This window comes from Homo sapiens, chromosome 17, assembly GCF_000001405.40.
Source record: "Homo sapiens chromosome 17, GRCh38.p14 Primary Assembly".
Taxonomy (NCBI): Eukaryota; Metazoa; Chordata; class Mammalia; order Primates; family Hominidae; genus Homo; species Homo sapiens.
This window is the reverse complement of record NC_000017.11, coordinates 47,303,057-47,324,359: the sequence shown is the minus strand read 5'-3', so window position 1 is coordinate 47,324,359 and position 21,303 is coordinate 47,303,057. Positions and strand designations below refer to the sequence as shown.

At 43.8% G+C, this 21,303-nt stretch overlaps 2 protein-coding genes and 1 long non-coding RNA gene across 14 annotated transcripts in view, besides 1 other annotated feature; 1 reads left to right on the top strand and 2 right to left on the bottom strand.

The window, feature by feature from the left end:
- The window catches only part of EFCAB13 (EF-hand calcium binding domain 13), a 117,358-nt gene extending 116,953 nt beyond the window's left edge, over positions 1-405 (bottom strand). For 9 of the 11 annotated variants that reach the window (NM_152347.5, NM_001426587.1, NM_001426586.1 and 6 more), the window contains exon 1: positions 286-405. The gene's annotated coding sequence lies outside the window, so the exon portion shown is untranslated. Of the gene's footprint in view, positions 1-260 lie in introns of all 11 variants that reach the window. The other 2 variants (NM_001426589.1, NM_001426592.1) reach the window with 1 other exon arrangement.
- Positions 267-676: a silencer, noted in NCBI's record as "silent region_8625". NCBI's record gives its function as "represses an Ori minimal core promoter by ATAC-STARR-seq in GM12878 lymphoblastoid cells {active_cell/tissue: GM12878}" and the evidence as "EXISTENCE:reporter gene assay evidence [ECO:0000049][PMID:35858748]".
- On the top strand, positions 459-20,917 carry EFCAB13-DT (EFCAB13 divergent transcript). Of its 2 annotated transcripts, none has more exons than NR_110880.1 (3): positions 459-671; positions 5,740-5,888; positions 20,578-20,917. It is a non-coding gene; the product is annotated as an EFCAB13 divergent transcript (long non-coding RNA). The 2 variants fall into 2 exon arrangements; NR_110881.1 differs by lacking the exon at positions 459-671 and adding an exon at positions 747-823.
- The window catches only part of ITGB3 (integrin subunit beta 3), a 59,917-nt gene continuing 49,230 nt past the window's right edge, over positions 10,617-21,303 (bottom strand). The window contains exons 14-15 of the mRNA NM_000212.3: positions 16,723-16,889; positions 10,617-14,221 (exon numbers count right to left, since the gene is read on the bottom strand). Of these exons, the coding sequence (NP_000203.2) occupies positions 14,156-14,221; positions 16,723-16,889 (233 nt within the window). The 3' untranslated portion in view covers positions 10,617-14,155. The remainder of the gene's footprint in view (positions 14,222-16,722; positions 16,890-21,303) is intronic.

Here is a 21,303-nt window from a genome sequence, read left to right as displayed (position 1 = left end):
AGCAGGGAAGTGACACCACCCCCGGGACCGCCAGCCTTCTACAACAACCACCATTTCTGAGGAACCACCTGATCAGTCTCAGTCACCCTTCAATCTGCCCCTTTGTCCCACTCAGTCCCCTCACTGTTCCTTTCTGGAACCTTCCTTCACCCAGCCCCACCACTGTTCTCCTTCCTCCCTCGCACCCTACTGCATTCTCCACCCTCCACCTCGAAGGCTCCCCTCCCAACTCCTCAGCGGGTCTCGCCTCCCCTCCCCACCTCTGTCCCCCAAGGGTCCCACTACCGGCCCGAGCTGCCCTCCCTTCCTCTCGGCTGGAGGCCCCCGCGCTCTCTGTGGTCAGCCCCTGCCGCCCCTCGGGCGGCGCTGCTCTAGCTCTGCAGCCTTCCCAGGATCCCGCGCCGCGCGGCCCCGCCCCCGCGGTCACCTGACCGAGCCCGACGCTCCGCCCACCGACCACCCCGAGCGGAGCGGGCCCAGGACCCTATCGGCTGTCGAGCCGGTGCTGCCGCGGCCACCGCCACCGCCCAGGGGCTCCGGGGCTGTGGGGAGCGGCTGAACTCAATACCGCCTCCGCGCTGACTGGAAGGCACTGCGGCCGCGCCTGCCTGCCCCACCTCGTAAGGGCCTGTGACCTCACGAGGCCAGCCGCCGGGCGCTGCATTCGAGCGGTGGGGCTCCTGTCCGTGCGCTTTCCTCCCGCAGCCCCGGCCGGGATTCCGCCCTCCGTCCTTGCCACCCGCTCGCCACTCTTCCCTAATCGCTGTTCATTCTCCGGTGCGCTGTCCCGCCATGGTCTGACCCCACTTCAATCTTACCTTCGGTCCGTCCTTTGAACACCCCGACCCCCGACCCCTTTCTTCCAAAACATTCCATCCTTCTTGGCTTCTGCTACTCAATAATGGACAGCAGCTCGAAGGCCATGTGTCCCACGGCTTTGCTGAAATTTGTCTCGGGTTGCCTTTAAGGAGACTGTCGTTTCCTTTTGAAAGAGATACTTTGGTTGGTTTGGTTTTCTTCTGTGTGTTTGTTTTTCCTATGTATTTATCGTATGCAGTTGGGCAAAATACTTAACGCTCCCTGAGTCTCGATTTTCTCATTCTTCCAGGGTTGTGGGAATTCAAAAATATATACGTAGTGCTCAATAAATGTTACAATATTTAATCCCTTCCGTGATACTACTGTGTTCATTTACATCTTAAACCTTGCTTTGTAGGCATTCTTTAATATTTTATTTAGATTTTTATTATTATTAAATATATGTACAAATCATAATTGTAAATATTTAATGGGGTACAATGTTATATTTTAATATATGTATACAATATGGAACGACTAAGTCAAGCTTAACATATCCATCACCTTGTTTAACGTTTTTTATGGTGAGACATTTGAAATTTACTCTTAGCAGTTTTGAGATATACGATATATTATTATTAGCTATAGTCACCACACTATGCAATAGATCTCAGAAACTTGCTGCTTTTGTCTGACTGAACCTTGTACCCTTTGAACAGCATCTCCCCATCCTGCATCTCCTACCCGCCCCGTCCCTTTCCAGCCTCTAACAACTATTCTACTGTCTACTTCTATGAGTTTGACTTTTTAAGATTCCACATATAAGTGAGATCATGTGGTATGTGTCTTTCTGTGCCTGGCTTTTTTCACTTAGTATGTCCTCCAAGTTGATTCATGTTGTCACAAATGACAGAAATTCTTTTTTAAGGCTGAATAGTATCCATTGCATATGTTGATTCATGTTGTCACAAATGACAGAAATTCTTTTTTAAGGCTGAATAGTATCCATTGCATATGTTTACTACATTTTCTTTATCCATTCATCCATCGATGGACACAGGTTGATTCCATTATCTCAGCGATTGTGCATAATGCTGAAATGAACATGGAAGTGCAAATAAGTCTTTGATATACTGATTTCAGTTACTCAATATATGCCCAGAAATAGCATCGCTGGATCATATGGTAGTTCTATTTTTAATTTTTTGGGAAACCTCCATATAGTTTTCCATAATGGCTGTAATAACACTAACAGTGTAAAAGGTTTCTCCACATCCTCAGCAACACATTTTTTTCATCATTTTGATAATAGCAATTCTTTTTTTTTTTTTTTTTTTTTTTTTTTGAGATTGAGTCACTCTGTTGCCCAGGCTGGAGTGCAGTGGCACAATCTCAAATCACTGCAACCTCCATTCCTGGGTTCAAGCAATCTTCCTGCCTCAGCCTCCCAAGTAGCTGGGATTACAAGCATGTGCCACCACACTTGGCTAATTTCTGTATTTTTAGTAGAGATGGCGTTTCACCATGTTGGCCAGGGTGGTCTCAAACGCCTGACCCTCAAGTAATCTGCCCACCTCAGCCTCCCAAAGTACTGAGATTACAGGTGTGAGCCACCACACCCAGCTTAATAGCCATGCTAACAGGTGTGAGGTGATATTGTAATCTTATTTTGCATTTCCCTAATAATAGTGATTTTTTTTTTCGCAAACCTGTTGGCCATTTGTATGTCTTCTTTTAAGAATGGCTGTGTCAGGCTGGGCATGGTGGCTCACACCCATAATCTCAGCACTTTGGGAGGCCAAGGTGGGAGGACCGCTTGAGCCCAAGAATCTGAGACCAGCCTGGGCAACATAGTGAAGCCTCATCTCTACAAAAAAAAATTTTTTTTAAAAGTCTATTCAGATTATTTGTCTATTTTTAAAATCAGGTTATTTGCTTTCTTGCTACTGAGTTTCTTGTATATCTTGGATATTAACCTCTTGTCAGATGTATAATTAGTAAATATTTTCTCCCATTCAGCAGGTTGTCTCTTCACTCTGTTAACTGTTTCCTTTGATGTGCAGAAGTTTTTAGTTTCATGTAATTCCATGTGTTTATTTTTTGTTTTCTCGCCTGTGTTCTTGAGGTCATGTCCAAAAAAATGCCCAGACCAATGTAGTGGAGCTTTCCGCCTGTTTTCTTCTAGTGGCTTTCTTCTATTTTTTCTTCTAGTAGCTTTCCCTCTATGTTTTCTTCTAGTAGTTCCAGTCTTACAGGTAAGTCTTTAATCCATTTTGACTTTTGTATACGGTGTGAGATAAGGGTCCAATTTCATTTTTCTACACATGGATATATGGTTTCCCAACAGTTTTTATCAAAGAGATTCCTTTCCCCATTGAGTGTTCTTGGCTCCTTATCAAAATTCAATTGTCTGTAAATTCTGGACTCTCTAGTATGTTCTATTGGCCAATGCATCTGTTTTTATGGAATACCATGCTGTTTTGATTACTGTAACTTTGTCGTTTATTTTAAAGTCAGGGACTGTGATGCCTTCAACTTTGTTTTTTTTTTGCTTTTTTTTTTTTGAGATGGATTCTGGCTCTGTCTCTCAGGCTGGAGTGCAGTGGCACAATCTCGGCTCACTGCAACCTCCACCTCCTGGGTTCAAGTGATTTTCCTGCCTTAGCCTCCCAAGTAGCTGGGACTAGAGGCGCGCACCACCACGCCTGGCTAATTTTTTTGTATTATTAGTAGAGACGGGGTTTTTTTTTTACCATGTTGGCCAGGCTGGTCTTGAACTCCTGATCTCATGATCTGCCCGCCTCGGCCTCCCAAAGTACTGGGATTACAGGCGTGAGCCACCACACCTGGCCCAACTTTGTTCTTTTTGCTCAAGATTGCTTTGGTTATTTGGGATCTTTTACGGTTCCATATGAATTTTAGGATTTTTTTATTTCCATGAAAAATAACTCTGGAATTTTGATAGGAATTGCATTGAATCTATAGATCACTTTGAGTAGCATGGGCATTTTAATTATATTAATTATTCCACTCCAAGAACATGGGATGTCTTTTCGTTTATTTGTGTTTTTTCCAATTTCTTTCATCAGTGTTTTTTAGTTTTTAGTATAAAGATCTTTCACTTTCTTGGTTAAATTTACACCTTTTTTGTTTCAGTTTTGGTTTTTGCTAATATAAGTAGAATTATTTTCTTAATTTCTTTTTTGGATTTGTTGTTGGCCTCTAGAAATGCTGCTGATTTTTGTGTGTTGACTGTGTACAGCAATTTTACTGACTTTATTAGTTCTAACAGTTTTTTGGTGGAGTCTTTTGGGTTTTCTATATATAAGATCATATTGTCAACAAAGAGAAAATTCCAATGCTTCCTTTCCTATTAAGATGCCTTTTATTTCTCTTGCTTAATTATTCTGACTAGAACTTCCAGTGCTATGTTGAAAAAAAAAAAAGCAGTAAGAGTGGGCATCCTTTTCTTGTTCCTGATCTTAAAGGAAATGCCTTCAACTTTTCACTGTTGAGAATGTTAGCTGTAGGCTTATCATATATGACCTTTATTGTGTTGAGGTACGTTCCTTCTATACCTAATTTGTTGAGAATTTTCATCATGAAAGGATGTTTAATTTCATCAAATGCTTTTTATGTATCTATTGAAATGATCATATGATTTTTGTTTATGTGGTGTATCACATTTATAGATTCCCATATGTTGAACCATACTTGCATCCCAGGGATAAATCCCACTAGATCATGGTGAATTATTCTTTGAATGTATTGTTGAAGTCAGTATGCTAGTATTTTGTTGAGGATTTTTGTATCTATACTCATTAGGGATATGACCTGTAATTCTTTAGTGCTTTTTAAATGTATATAGTTTATCTCCCCAAAGATTCTGAAATATCTGAGTGCTGAGACCATGTCTTTTATTTTTGTAAATACCCCTCAATCCACCCTCCATCACCCGCTTTCCCACTCCCCACGCCTGTTGTGTTTAAGGATGGTACCTCGGAGTACTGTTCAATCAGGCAAAGACTCTCTAAAGATTTTAAGAGTGGCTGGGTGCAGTGGTTCACGCCTGTAATCCCAACACTTTGAGAGGCCGAGGTGGGTGGATCACCTGAGGTCAGGAGTTGGAGACCAGCCTGGCCAACATGGTGAAACCTCATCTCTACAAAAATACAAAAAAATTAGCCGAGCGTGGTGGCGGGTGCCTGTAATCCCAGCTACTCAGGAGGCTGAGGCTGGAGAATTGCTTGAACCCGGGAGGCGGAGATTGCAGTGACCCAAGATCTCGCCACTGCACTCCAGCCTCGGTGACAGAGTAAGACTCCGTCTCAGAAAAAAGATTTTAAGAGTATGGCTCACAGGTCCTCTCATTCAAACAATAGGGCTTCTAAGAAACTTAAGGTCTTTGTCCTTCAGCAGAAGCCCAAGGTAGAAAAAGACATATCTCAAAGGTATTTGCTGCCATGGCTTTTGTCTCCTGGACTAAAACCCAGTAAGATTCACAGTAGATTCAAAAATTGTTTTAAGAGAATTGTATTGTCAGAAATACTGTCAGCTTGAGCTGAAAAAGAGTACAAAAAGGAAAGGGGCCTTTGGACCCTTTCTACAAACGCATTTCTACAAACAGGAAGCAGGCTAAGAAAACTATTTAGGTCCAAACACATCTCCCTTTCACACAAAAAAGGATGACTTAGAGGATAAAACCAAGAGCCCAGAAGGTGGAACCAAAAGCCATAGGGAGTTATTCCCAGGCTTTGAGTGTAGAACTGCAAACCTGTACTCAAATGGATTTCAGAATTGCTATGAACCAGTGACTTCTGTGCACCTTGGTTTCCACCTGTTGGAACAGGAGTGTCTATAGCAGTTATCTCCCTGCCCCTGCTGTTTTACATTGGTTGCTGTGGGGAAAGGAGCATATGACCTTTTTCTTTTTGTTCGCAGAACTTCAGATTGAAAAGCATGTACTTGAGTAGCTGTATTTAAGGAATTACACCCAAGAAGTCTCATCTTCCCTGGACTTACGTAGAGGATAAGATTCTGAACTTTGAATTGATGCTATAATGGGATAAGACTTTGGGGCCTTAGAAGGGGTAAGTTTATTTTGCATGTGGGAGAACTATAAATAATTTGTGACCAGAGGGTTGCCTGAGGTAGTCTTAAAATATGTCCACAAACACTTTGATATTTGTATTCATTTCCTATGCTGTGGTAACAAATTACCACAAACTTAGTGGCTTAAATAGCACAAATTTATCATCCCAAGTTTCTGGAGGCCAGAAGTACAAAATGAGCCTTACAGTGTTAAAATCAAAGGCTGCATTTCTTATTGAGGCCGTGGAAGAGAATCCATTCTTTGCCTTTTCCAACTTCTACGGGCTGTATACATTGCTTGACTTATGGCCATATCAGTCTGACCCACTTCCATTCACTCTCACTCTGGCCCCCCTAACTCCCTCTCTTTTTTTTTTTTTTTTTTTTTTTTGAGACAGAGTATTACTCTGTCATCCAGGCTGGAGTGCTGTGGCACAATCTCGGCTCACTGTAACCTTTGCCTCCTGGGTTCAAGCGATTCTTATGCCTTGGCCTCACAAGTAGTTGGGATTACAGGTGCGTGCCACCATGCCCAACTAATTTTTTTGTATTTTTAGTAGAGACAGGGTTTCGCCATGTTGGCCAGGCTGGTCTCAAACTCATGGCCTCAAGTGATCCAACCACCTCAGCCTCCCAAAGTCCTGGGATTACAGGCATGAGCCACTAAGCCCAGCCCTGACCCCCTCTTATAAGGACACTTGTGATTACATTGAGCCTCCCCAGATAATCCAGGATGATTGCCTCATCTAAAGATCATTAATTATGTCAACAAAGTTGTTTGTTCCACGTAAGGTAACATATTCACAGGTTCTGGAGATGGGGATGTGGCTGTCTTTGGGGGGCAATGATTCTGTACACAATGCTCCTCCCTTCAAGAGGTGGCATCTATTTCCCTCCTCTTGAATGTTAGCTGGATTTAGTGGGCTACTTCTAATGAATAGTGTATGGCAGAAATTATGGTGTAACACTTACAAAACTAAGTCATAAAAAAATTGTAGCTTCCTCCCTGTTCTCTCTTGGATTACTCCCGCTGGGAGAAACTAGCTGACATGTCATGCAGACACTCAAGCAGTCCTATAGAGATATCCAAGTGGTGAGGAACTAAGGTCTATTGCCAATAGCCAGCATGGAATTGATGCCTCCTGCCAACAGCCATGTGAGTAAGCCATCTTAGAAAAGGATTCTCCAGCCCTTTTTAGCCTTCAACCGACTACAGCCCTGGCCAACAGTTTGACTCCAACCTCATGAGAGTCTCTGAGCCAGAACCACCCAGCTAAGCCATTCCTAAATTCCTGACCACAGAAACAGCAAGATAATGTTTGTTGTTTTAAGCTACTAAATTGTGGAGTAATTTCTTATGCAGCAACAGATAACTAATACAATCCCCACTGGGTGTGGTGGCATGCACCTGTAGTCCCAGCTACGTGGGGAGGTTGAGGTGGGAGGATTGCTTGAACCCAGGAGTTCGAGTCCAACCTGGGCAACAAAGCAAGACCTTACCTCCTTAAAAAAATTTTAAAAATAAATAAAATAATACAATCCCCAAGGTCACATATTGAGCTATGAGGGCTACTTAACTTCTAGGTATTAACTCTGCATTCCCGCCTGCAAGATGAAGGAAATGGAGAAAAGTATGTTCCTTCCCTTAAACAGCATTTACTGGAAGTTGCATACACCTCTTTCATTTACATCTCATTGTCTATGAGATGGACATGGCACATGTAGCTACAAGATTTTTGCATGCTCTTTGTATCTAGCAACTTTACTAAATTTGCTTATTAGTAATAAAAGAATATTTATTCTGGGCAACCATGTGCCCAACTAAACAGCAGAAGTTCTAATATTATGTGAGAAGGAGAAAACATACTGGGCACAATCAGCAATCTCTGTCACAATGGTGAGTGTAAGGGTCAGGAAAGGCAAAGTCCAGCACACACCCATCAACATTTTTTTCCAATTTCTTAACGAAGTATTTCCATTGGCCACCAAAGCGATATTTACACATCATCACTGTGATCTCTCCAAAGAATCAAGCCAATTCTGTATGAGTCACTGGAAAATCCAATTACTATACTAAAATGAAATCAATTGTGAAACGTTTTCCTTACAAGTTCTTATTGGGGACACTGCTAAAGAATAATTTAAAATGGACATTTTGTTTAAAGGCTCCTAAATTTTCTAAATGGTGCTTTCTGTGAGCAATCTTTGATGTGTCAGAAAATATACAGCTGATGAAAGTGTTTCCTTTATGCAAGGAGTTGGAGGGGCTTCATTATAACATTAGCAGCCTCAAGGAAGGCAGTCATGTTCCTGACCTCTTCATTTTCTTTTCACATACAAACCATTCTTAGGTAGCCACATTAAGTGGATTTTTAAATTTTTATGTAATGATATACTTAACCCTAATCACAAGCTTCTAAGACTGCCTCCTTGCATGTTTTAACCAAACTAAAACAAATTAGGAATATATACTTCCATAAATATATTGTATTATAAAACCAATTAGAAATGATTTTTAAATGGCTTATTTGCAGAGCATACGTTATGGTTCCATTATACTGTGAAAACTGAGTAATTCCCAGGCAATCTGCTTGTAATTGGTCCCAGTGGCCATTAGATGGCTCTGTTACTGTAGAGTTTGGACTACCGAAGCCAAGCGTTAAAGGATTACAAATGTGGCTTGACATATAGCTTTTCATCTCATTTTACATAAGATCCTCTATTTTCATCCAGACATTTAGTCAGCAGTTACCAAGACGTAAATAAAACATAGTGAATCTCACAAGATTTCACCATAAAAGGTCTCAGTCTATGTTCACGTAATCTCTTAATGATGTCATGTATTGTATTATGCTCAAAAAATGTACATTATGTTAGGAATTTAAGACTCAGGCCAGGCACCGTAGCTCACACTTGTAATTCCAGTACTTTAGGAGGTAAAGGTGGAAGGATTGCTTGAGCCCAGGAGTTTGAGACCAGCCGGGGCAATATAGTGAGACCTCATCTCTACAAAAAAATATGTATTTAATTAGCCGAGTATGGTGGCATGTGTCTGTAGTCCCAACGCTTTGGAAGGCCAAGGCAGGAGAATCCCTTGAGCTTGGGAGGTCAAGGCTGCAGTGGCCATGATGATGCCACTGCATTCTGGCAACAAAATGAGATCCCGTCTGAAAAAAAAAAAAAGGACTTAAAGACAAAGATTATGTTATCAGTGTTCTGTAAGGTACTTCAGTCCCACACTGTTGGTGTTCAATAAATTTTAAACAGCCTTTTGGCTGTAAAGTAAAAAATTCTAAGTATTATTCTAGCATCCTATAGGATGATAATGTTAATAATTAAGATTTTGATCCTATCTCCTGTGAATAAATTCTGTAAGAATATTTCCTTGCTTGTGTCTTAGTACACATAAAAAGTATCCTGTTAGTTTTTCCCCAGGATTCTATTCTTCCAGTTTTTCATGGGAATTTGTGGTCATGAGTGAAAGCAAGATACCCAAGATCATTTAACCTGGAAAATAGGTCAAAGTAGATTTTCATTTTGTGTGGGTGGATATTTCATCTTCTGAGTATGTCAGGCAAGGTTTGCTATTAACTGTATATAGTAACTAAGCTGCCTTACTATAAAGTTCTTTCTAGGCAAGAAGGCTAAATATGTGATTCCTTAAATCAGTTGTTCTTAAACTTGAGCATGAATTAGAATCACCAGGGAGGCTTCTTAAAACAGATCATGGGTCCCCACTCCCAGATTTTCTGATTCAGCAGCTGTGGGGTGGGGCCTGTCAATTTTCATTTCTAACAAGTTTCCAGCTGATATTGATGTTGCTGGTCTTGGGACCACACTTTGACACCCACTGCCTTAAATAAAATTTAGGCATTTAAATGGTCCTGTAAATAATTTGCCATTAAGCTATTATTTTATCCATTTATGCTTCCTACAAACAAAATCTAGGCTACACTGGCAGTCTGTTCTTTTGAGGTTGCACAAGTTCCTAAATAATACCCAATTAAAAAAAAAAAACCGCAAACTCTTAGAACAGTAATAACCTACTCATTTAAAAAATATTAAGTCTAAAGAGGGCCGGGCCTGGTGGCTCACACCTGTAATTCCAGCATTTTGGGAAGCCGAGGCCGGCGGATCAGTTGAGGTCAGGAGTTTGTGACCAGCCTGGCCAACATGGTGAAACCCTGTCTCTACTAAAAATACAAAAATTAGCCGGATGTGATGATGCACACCTGTAATCCCAGCTACTCAGGAGGCTGAGGCAGGAGAATTGCTTGAGCCCCGGAGGCAGATGTTGTAGTGAGCAGGGATCACACCACTGCACTCCAGCCTGGGCAACAGAGAGAGACTCCATCTCAAAAATAAATAAAAATACAAAAATTTGCCAGGTATGGTGGTGGGCGCCTGTAATCCCAGCCACTCGGGAGGCTGAGGCAGGAGAATCTCCTGAGCCCAGGAAGCAGAGGTTGCAATGAGCCGAGATCGCGCTCACTTCACTCCAGCCTGGGCAACAGAGCGAGACTCCATCTCAACAACAACAACAAAAAAATCTAAAGAGAAGCTCTGGATTCTGAAGCTAGCTTCAGTACCCATAGTAGTCATCATTCTGTTACATTTGGAAACATGCTTGTTCTAAAATAATCATTTCTGAGTCAATGACACCTATTCTTTTCATCCAAAGGAAACAGAAATAACAACACAGGAAGCACTGAGCAGCCTTAGGCCAATTCTTTTTGGAAAGTACATTTAATTTACTGTTGCACAAACCCAAACAGAGAAGGTGGTTAGGAAGTGAGGAAGGCACTTAAGAAATTTCAACCACAGCCGGGGGCAGTGGCTCACGCCTGTAATCCCAGCACTTTGGGAGGCCGAGGCGGGAGGATCACGAGGTCAGGAGATCGAGACCTTCCTGGCTAACACCGTGAAACCCCGTCTCTACTAAAAATACAAAAAGAAATTAGCCGGGCGTGGTGGCAGGTGCCTGTAATCCCAGCTACTCGGGAGGCTGAGGCAGGAGAATGGCGTGAACCCGGGAGGCGAAGCTTGCAGTGAGCAGAGATCGTGCCACTGCACTCCAGCCTGGGTGATAGAGCAAGACTCTGTCTCAAAAAAAAAAAAAAAAAGAAAAGAAATTTCAACCAGGAATACTTAACAAAGAAAAAGAGGCCTTTGGACCCCATTAAAATCATGGATGACTGGCCGGGCACAGTGCTTCACACTTGTAATCCCAGCACTGTGGGAGGCCGAGGAAGGTGGATCGCCTAAGGTCAGGAGTTCGAGACCAGCCTGGCCAACATGGTGAAACCCCGTCTCTACTAAAAATACAAAAATTAGCCGGGTGTGGTGGCGGGTGCCTGTAATCCCGGCTACTGGGGAGGCTGAGGCAGGAGAATGGCTTGAACCTGAGAGGCAGAGATTGCAGTGAACTGAGATCTTGCCATTGCATTCCAGCTTGGGCAACAAGAGTGAGGCTTTGTCTCAAATTAAAAAAAAAATCATGGATGACCTGGGAATCTCAGAGAAGTAAAGAACTGACTCCTAATATGGCAACTTGTCAGGAATATTCAAAGTTTTCCGTTATTGTCCACAGATCCTGAGACTGGACATAAATTTTCTCCAAAAGAGCTAGACACAATCCCTTTGTGCCGTGTTATCTGATGCCAGAACACTGTTTAGCTGTTCACCCCACAGGCCAAAACTGCTATTTGCTACCTCATGAATGCAGCTACAGGTTATCCCCACATATTGACAAATAATATTGGTCTTCAAGACCTGTGAACTTCATTCCAGTAGCTCAGACAAGATTCCTGATTTGATTCACCTGTTAAATACATTTTCTTCCCCCTTTGATACAGTTTCTTCATATAAAACATCTTATCTAAAGAAAATGTCCCATTAACACTCTCATGGACTCTGTCTTAGTAACTGAAGATTATAATCACAGGCGTGAGCCACCACACCTGTCTTAGTAGCTGAAGGTTATAATTACAGGCATGAGCTTCCACACCTGTTCCCTGCCACTATTTCTAAGGACTTCTTGGATCCATGACTATCCCTCCCCGCCCCCTATTTATCCCTCTACCATACTGCCATTCCCTACAGTAAGGAGTAATCCATGGGTGAGACAGGGCTCAGTCATTGCCCCATATCTAATTCCAAGGCTTATTCTCAATGTTAACACAATAATACAGAATAGATATTTCAGCTACTTATGGATTCCTCTTCCCTAATATGTGGATGCAAATGTGTGCAAAGTGAAGAAAGAAATAATAACTAAATGAAGCTTAAGTGCTACATCAGGAGAGACGTAACTATTAACAAATGTTGGAAAACGGGTTTGGAGAGAGGATAGAATGAGACTTTCATTGAGAAAGGTGATATGGAATGACATCTGCTCTTGCCAAAGCCAGGTCTCTCAGATCTCCCAACTAAAAACACAAACAGTATCAATATCCCAGAGAATCTTAACCGCACATTTGATGACACAGTAAGTCCCAGCATCTTAGAATGTTGATACTGAAAGAGACCTTCAAGACTGGCTGCTAAAATCCCATCATTTCTCAAACTAGAAAACAGCTTTAAGAAGAAGAAAGTGACTTGCCTTAATTAAAGATTATTTAGCTGTAACACTGAGGCCAGAGCTCCAGTTTTCTGCTCATGGAACAAATGTTGATAAGTCTTTCTTTTTTTCTTGGGCATTTGGGGGTGGCTTTTAATGTTGGATGTATGTCAACACCAATGGAGCCACTGCTTTTCTGGGACAAAAGAACAGTCCCTCTTCCTCAGGAAAGGTCCAATGTGTCCACACATCTATCCCCATAGCCTTCTATCATGAGAGAGCCCCTCACAGATCCAGCCACTGGCCAGTGACTTGCTGTGAATGATGCCAAGTGGGAGTGTCTGTACCCTGCCCAAGTCTGTGTGGTTTCCTATGCTCTCCTTCTTTGCCATCACATAAATTTACAAATATAATGCAAGCATGTTTATATACATGTTCTTTTAAGTTAAGAAAACCTCATCATGAGAAAAATAAAATAAAATTGCACTGTGGCCTCTCAGATTAAAGACTGAGTTAAAATGAGGTTGTCCAACCCATAGAAGAACAGGCCACACGTGCTGATACAACTGACCCATCATTCCATCCTGGCACTTATTCCCAGCCAACTCATGGGAATAATTCCTTCACAAGGCAGCCAAGAGGTAGAAGGTAAATACAATCAGCCCCATGGATGGATACAGCACACCAAGGCACAGGGCCAGGTATGTGGAGGTGCTATGGATGAGGGACAGGAGGCCGGAAGCATAGGGCCAGACCTCTGGCTCTACAATAGCACTCTCTCCCTTTGAGGAAAAGCATTTGGTCATGAGAGACATCCCCAGCTCATAGCAAATGTCTACAGCAGTGAGGGTGTGGAATTAGGAGGTAAAGAGATGGTGCTGGCCTAAGGGTGACACACTTCTTCTAAACAAACCTCCAGAGTAGAGCTGCCAATAAGGCAAATCTGAAGGGTTGTGATTATGAACTGGGAGATGCTGGTACATCCCCCAGGCCATGAATGACCCCTGAGTGGCCCAGACATCCTCACTCCCAACAGGTCAAAGAATTAGCTTGCAAGGACTTCCCTTGCGAGAGAACCATAGCTGGGTTGAGGGGATGGCAAAAGGCACAGGCAGCTCTAATAGTTCAGCTCTCCCTGACTCCTCCTTCGGCCTGAGGGAGGGGAAAGGAGGCAGAGGTACAGATGACCCGGGCTGCCAAGCCCAGCAGTTCCTACCATAGCTGCTGAGAGTCAGGCCTGAGAACCATAAATTTATGAACTCAGGGTAGAGCCAAGGCTTGGTGTCCCTTCCTCTGGAATGAGAGGCCTCAGCCCTGCCCTTCTCTTCAGGGACAATGGCCTGATGAGGAAAGCTGGCTTCTCACTGAGGTAATGAAGAACACCTGCTCAGCTCCATAGTCACCCTCAAGCTAAGCAGGAAGAATCCCTGCAGGAGGCATTCTGGGACAAAGGCTAAGGAGCTCAGCTTATCAGGACACATCACAATTTTAAATTACACACTCCCACACACAACACACACACATAAACACACAGACCCCCACATACACACACACAGACCCACACTTCCACATACTGACATTCTCCCAACCTACCCCACTCTGAGCCCCAAATCCCTCCCCACAAATACTGTCCTCTGTAAACATGATGGCAGGGACTCCTGCAATCGTGGCACAGGCTGATAATGATCTGAGGATGACTGCTTATCATTAAGTGCCCCGGTACGTGATATTGGTGAAGGTAGACGTGGCCTCTTTATACAGTGGGTTGTTGGCCTGTGGAGGAAACAGAATAGCATCTTACAGTGACTTCCTTAAGTCCTTCCCTACCCTGAATGTTTAAAATTCATCTCAGAAGTTTTCCCAAGGCACCGTTCTCTGGAATACATCATCAATGAAACAGAATAATGTTCATTTTGCTCACACTTTAGTTCTTGGCATGGGAATTGATAGGAAATAACAGGAGGAGATGAGGTAGAATGCCATCCTGCCACCGTTTCTTTTTTTTTTTTTTTTTTTCAGACAGGGTCTCATTTTGTTGCCCAGGCTGGAGTGCAGTGGCACAATCTCGGCTTACTGAAACCTCCACCTCCCCTGACTCAAGACATCCTCCCACCTCAGCCTCCCAAGTAGCTGGGACTACAGGCACACACCACCATGTCTGGCTAATTTTTGCATTTTTTTGTAGAGATGGGGTTTCTTCATGTTGCCCAGGCTGGTCTCAAACTCCTGAGCTCAAGCGATCCACCTGCCTCAGCCTCCCAAAGTGCTGGAATTACAGGCATGAGCCACCACACCTGTTCCCTGCCACTATTTCTAAGGAGCTATATTCAGCCTATCACTCTTCAGTGATTCCACAGCATTCGGGGATAGAACCTCTCCTATTTCACCCCTGTGTCCCCGTCTCTTTTGCCCTTCTCCTATTTTCCATTCCCTGTGACAGTGATAGGAGATGTGGACAAGGGACAGAAATGTATCAGGTGCAATTCAGAACACAGAGGAAAGCTTTTGCTCAAATAATTATTAATTTGTTTTCATCTAATCTGGCCAAGCACTAACCATGGCCAGGCATGGTGGTTTATGCCTATAATCCCAGCACTTTTAGGGGCCAAGGTAGGAAGATCACTTGAGCCCAGGAGTTCTAGACCAGCCTGGGTAACAGAGTGAGACCCTGTCTCTACAAGGGAAAAAAATACAAAAATTAGCTGGCTCGGTGATGTGTGCCTGTAGTCCTGGCTACTTGGGAGGGTGAGGTGGGAGGATCACTTGAGCCCAGGAGATGGAGGCTGCATTGAGCCATGATGGCACCACTGCACTCCAGCATGGGTGACAGAGCGAGACCCTGTCTCAAAAAAAGAAGGAAGGAGGGAAGGGAAGGGAAAGAAAAGGAGAGGAGGGGAGGAAGGGAAGGGGAGGGGAGGAAGCGTAAAAGGAAGGGGAGGGGAGGAGAGGGGAGGGGAGGGGAGGGAATGGGAGAGGAGGGGAGAGAAAGAGAAAGCACTATCCACAAACTGTCATGTTATCAGGAAAAAGTAAGACCCTCACTAGGTTTCCCAAACTATTTTCCAACAGAAAGTAACAAATCCTATAATGGTAGCTTCAAGAAACACATTCTTAGCCAGGCGCAGTGGCTCACGCCTGGAATCCTAGCACTTTGGGAGGCCGAGGCGGGTGATCACGAGGTCAGGAGTTCGAGACCAGCCTGGCCAACATGGTGAAACCCCGTCGCTACTAAAAATACAAAAAATAGCTGGGCACAGTGGCTGGCGCCTGTAATCCAGTTACTTGGGAGGCTGAGGCAGGAGAATCACTTGAACCTGAGAGGCCAAGGTTGCAGTGAGCCAAGATCGCTACACTCAAGCCTGGGTGACAGAGCAAGACTCTGTCTCCAAAAAAAAAGAGAAAGAAACACATTCCTGTGGGCCTCATAGGTACAGGATGTTCCACACTGTTCTAACAGAAACATCTCAGTTTCTTGGGACCCTTGAGTATAAAGCTCTGGGGTCAACATCAAATGGGAACAAACTTGCAGCCTAACTCTGGACATTTGGGGAGTCAAATAGCCATTTGGAGGGTCGAGGAAAAAAGTTGAAATGTGAAAGAAGAGCCAAAAGAGAATAGAGTAAGATTAAGTATATAGAAAGTTCTCAGTAAATGCTTATTTAATTGGAATAAATCAGGATAAAAGAGTAGAGTCTGATTTGGAAGTAACCTTTTATTTTATTTTATTATTATTATTATTATTATTATTATTTTTGAGACCGAGTCCTGCTCTGTCACCCAGAGCAGGGTGCAATCTCAGCTCACTACAACCTCTACCTACTGGGTTCAAGCAATCCTCCTGCTTCAGCCTCCCGAATAGCTGGGATTACAGGCATGCACCACCACACCCGGCTAATTTTTATATTATTAATAGAGACGGGGTTTCACCATGTTGCCCAGGCTGGTCTCGAACTCTTGAGCTCAAGTGATCTGCCCACCTTGGCCTCTCAAAGTGCTGGGATTACAGGCACGCGCCACCAGGCCCAGCCTGGAAGTAACCATTTATTTGAGGAGAAAGAAGAGAATGAGATGGAATGACATCCTGCCACTATTTCTAAGAGGCTGAAGGAAGCTGAAGGACAAGGGGATAGTGAGACCATCTCTCCCAGTTTCCAGAACAGAGGATAATGGAAAGACGATGGTACTGGCTGAACATGACCACCCAAAGCATCTGCTGCTTCCACTTAAGAGTCTCAGACCAATGACTTTAGAAAACGCCCAGCCCCGTCTCTTACTGTGTCCCATTTTGCTCTGGCGCGTTCTTCCTCAAATTTAGCGAATTCTTTTCGGTCGTGGATGGTGATGAGGAGTTTCCAGATGAGCAGGGCGGCAAGGCCAATGAGCAGAATGGCCCCCATCACTGAGAGCAGGACCACCAGGATGTCAGGGCCCTTGGGACACTCTGTGAGGAAGAAGCACAGAGCAGGGCGGTTGTGAATGAAGCAGGAGTCACTTGAACTGGCTATGAAAAAGGTGTTCTTGACAAAGTAACTAAGGTCCTTGAAGGAAATAGGACAGTTTTCAAAAATTAATTTTTTTAAGGAGACAATCATTAGGACAGCAATAATCTGCACTGAGTGGCTCAAATCAGAAGTCTAGACCTGGTAACCCCTAGACAGAACCCAGCCACACCTTTGTGTGGGGGTTCACCCAAGTGTTTATTTTAAAAATTAAACACAAAGAAGAGAACACCAGACACTGGGACCTACTTGAGGGTGGAGACGGGGAGGAGGTGGGGATCGAAAAACTACCTATGAGTCACTATGCTTATTACCTGGGTGATGAAATAATAGGTACACCAGACCCCCATGACTCACAGTTTATCTACGGAACAAACCCACACATGTACCCCTAAAGCAAAAATAAAAGTTTTTTAAAAAATTAAAAATAAAAAGCCGAGTGTGGTGGCTCACACCTGTAATCCCAGCACTTTGGGAGGCCAAGGTGGGCAGAGCACCTGAGGTCAGGAGTTTGAGACCAGCCTGGCCAACATGGTGAAACCCCATCTCTACTAAAACTACAAAAATTAGCCTAGCATGGTGGCGAGCACCTGTAATCCCAGCTACTTGGGAGGCTGAAGCACAGAATCACTTGAACCTGGGAGGTAGAGGTTGCAGTGAACCGAGATCACACCATTACACTCCAGCCTGGGTAACAGAGCAAAACTCCATCTCAAAATAAATAAATAAATAAATAAATGAATAAGAAATAAAAAATTGACTTTATTGGCAATATTGAATAATCAGGAGATTCTCCCCCTAAAATTTCATATTAGTCTCTTTAAAAAGAAAATCCAGGCCAGGCCCAGTGGCTCATGCCTATAATGCCAGCACTTGGGAGGCCGAGGCAGGAGGACAGCTTGAGTCCAGAAGTTCAAGACCAGCCTGGGCAACATAGTGAGGCTCTGCCTCTACAAAATTGTCTTTTTTAATTAGCCAGGCATTGTGGCATATGCCTGTAGTCCCAGCTACTCAGGATGCTGAGGTGGGAGGATCGTTTGAGCCTGGGAGGTCAAGGTCATAGTGAGCCATGATCGTGCCACTGCTCTCCAGCCTGGATGACAGAGGGAGAGACTATCTCAAAAGAAAGAAAGAGAGAAATACAGAAAGAGAGAGATTCTTATATTCCTGCAGAGCAGCAGTTAGCTAGAGCTGAGGAGGAGCTGCTCCTTTTAGTTGGAACTCATGTTTTCTAGTTTACCAGAATCCCCACCACTCTCCCTTCTCTCTCCTAGAGGAAGGCAGTGTGACTTGTTGGTGTGTCTGCGCTCCTGTGGATGTTACAGCCAGACTCCCTGGGTTTGAATCCTGACTTATCACTTAACTTTTATACATGATCTTTGGAAAATTACTTAACCTTTCTGAATGTCTGTTTCCTGTTTCTCCATCTTTAAAATGAAGATAGTAATAGCACTGACTTTAAAAGAAACTTGTTATGAGGAATGATTAAATTAAATATATCTTAAAAACTCAGAACAATGCCTGGCACAGAGTAAGTGCTCAGTAAATATCAGCTACCGTTGTAACGGATCTTCTTACACCCAGCTGTTTTCACTAACTTATTTGCTTCCTTAGCCACTGTAAGTATTTGTGTCTGTTATCCTGGTTCAGATATTTACATTCCTGAGGGCTGTGAACCTAATGACATTTTTTGCATTCTTAGAGACCAGGACCTGCCAGCCAAGACAATATTTTGGGTTCTTTCCCAAAATACTTAGTCATCTAAAATCATAACCCTATTGAAAGCTGCCTTCCTGTTCAACCCCAGTCAACAACTAAAACAGAGGCATGTCACCCCTCTGGGGGTCAGGCTGAGTATACTCTGCAGAGCTCTGCTTCCCACAAATGTCAGGTATCTAATAGGTGATCTTATTCCAGTAACCTCAAGTGTTATGAAACCAGGTGTTTATATATGAGGGTGCTAATGAGCCTGGAGAGGAAGTCACACCCACTTTCCACACTGTCTCCCACCTTCTTCGCCAAACATATACCCAATGCTCACCACACACACCACAAAAACAACCACCACCATAACTCAAGCTGGCTATCTCCCAACCCGCCAAATTACAACCTGTCTATAATTAAATGAGTGCCTGGAGAGAGGCTGTGAGGTTCCAGTGTTCAAGTTCCCAAGAGTGAAGGGCCCCAGTTCTGGGAAAAACAATTATGGATTCTCTGGAAGATTTGGGTAGGGCTGACCCTCAATTATCAAAGTAAAATCTCTTTAATTCTGCACATTAGTATGGGCAGGGCAGGTAGGGTGCCAGGAGGTCTTTAGGGGAAAACAATCTGTTAACCATGTGTCCTGAAAGGAGTTTGGGGTGGGTTTCCTGGAAGCAGAAGGCAAGATCAGGTGACCTCTGGAGGGCCCTTCCAGCCACAGCGGTGGACCAATGGCAAATGACCCAAGGTCAGAGAAGTCTGGGTAGGGTTGGCAGATTCAGCAAACAAAAACACAGGATGCTTGGCCAGGTGCAGTGGCTCACACCTGGAATCCCAGCACTTCAGGAGGCCAAGGCAGCCAGATCACTTGAAGTCAGGAGTTCAAGACCAGCCTGGCCAACATGGTGAAACCCTGTCTCTACTAAAAATACAAAAGTTAGTCAGGTGTGGTGGTGGGCGCCTGTAATCCCAGCTACTCAGGAGGCTGAGGCAGGAGAATTGCTTGAACCTGGGAGGCAGAGATTGCAGTGAGCCAAGATCACGCCGCTGTACTCCACCCTGGGCAACAGAGCAAGACTCTGTCTCAAAACAAAAACAAAAACAAAAACAAAAACAAAACAAAAAAAGCAGGAAGCCAAGACAAATCTGAATTTCAGATAAATGATTATTTTTTACTATCATTGTGTACCAAATACTGCATGGGACCTAGTGTATTTTATTTGGTAACCCCATCTGGGAGTGATAAGAGCCCAGCTCAAGAGCCCATTCCATGTGGTTAAATTCCATTTGGCCAATGCCAAAACTTTTGGCAGTGTTGTCTTTACTGCCCTATAGTGGCTTAGCCCTTCAAAGAGAGCATCTGCAAGAGCATGAGTTGGGGAAGAGAAAGAGAATCATCTCCCCCACTGTCTGAGGCCCCAGCTGCAACATTCTACTCAAAGCCAGGAAATGATTGGAGCTGGGAGATGAGCAGGGAGGCGGAGCCTAGAATTCCAGAGCAACAACATAGGAAATGTTGGCCCTGTGTGTTGGCTCACACCTGTAATCCCAACACTTTGCGGGGGGCTGAGGCGGGGGGATCACTTGAGTCCCAGAGTTTTGAGACTAGCCAGGGCAACATAGTGAGACTTCATCTCTACAAAAAAATAAAAATTAAAAAGTAGCCAGGTGTGGTAGTGTACGCCTGTAGTCCCAGGGAGGCTGGGATGGGAGGATTGTGTGAGCCGAAGAGGTTGAGACTGCAGTGAGCCAAGGTCGCACCACTGCACCCCAACCTGGGCAACAAAATGAGACCCTATCTCAAAAAAAAAGATAGGAAACGTGGGTCTATGGATCTGGGGTCTGTTCTCCTAATGTGGGGGAAGGGGTCTACTGGCAGTGAATACTCAAAAATGTTTTCTAATAATTCATCTTAACCTGTTGTTTAAGGAGAACAAAGGCCATGAAGGTGTTAAAGGGAAGCAAGCGATCGACAGCATTGGTTGGTGACAAACCTGTGGCTGGTCTGTGTATGATGGGATGGATTCCTCCTGCTCCCAGAAGGCACTGTACTTTCAGTGTTCAGGGCAGCCTTGCCTTAGTGCCTCAAACCTATCCCTACATCCTGCAGTAAACTTGGAAAGGTAACACCTCTAACCATCAGGCCTTCCTCTGAAGCACAGTCAAGTTGCTCTTGGCAACCATCTCAATTTTAATAGTGCAGATGCCATGTGCTGTAAAGTCCTAAAATTTAAATTCTTTATTTCTTGACATCATTGCCTCAAAAAAATGCGTGATATATTTTGTCCATTAATGAGATCCATATCTATCTTCTTCTCCTTACCTGCTTTCTGATTTTCCTGTCTCCTCAATTAACAAGTCACTTTCTTGATAATATTTGTATTTATAAATGCCCTTCACCCAGATGACGGTCCCTAACTTATCGTTTTTTTTTGTTGTTGTTGTTGTTTGTTTGTTTTTTTGAGACAGAGTCTCACTCTGTTGCCCAAGCTGGAGTGCAGTGGCGCGATCTCAGCTCACTGCAACCTGTGCCTCCCGGGTTCAAGTGAGTCTCCTGCCTCAGCCTCCCAAGGAGCTGGAATTACAGGCATGCACCACCATGCCCGGCTAATGTTTTTGTATTTTTAGTAGAGACAGGGTTTCACCATGTTGGCC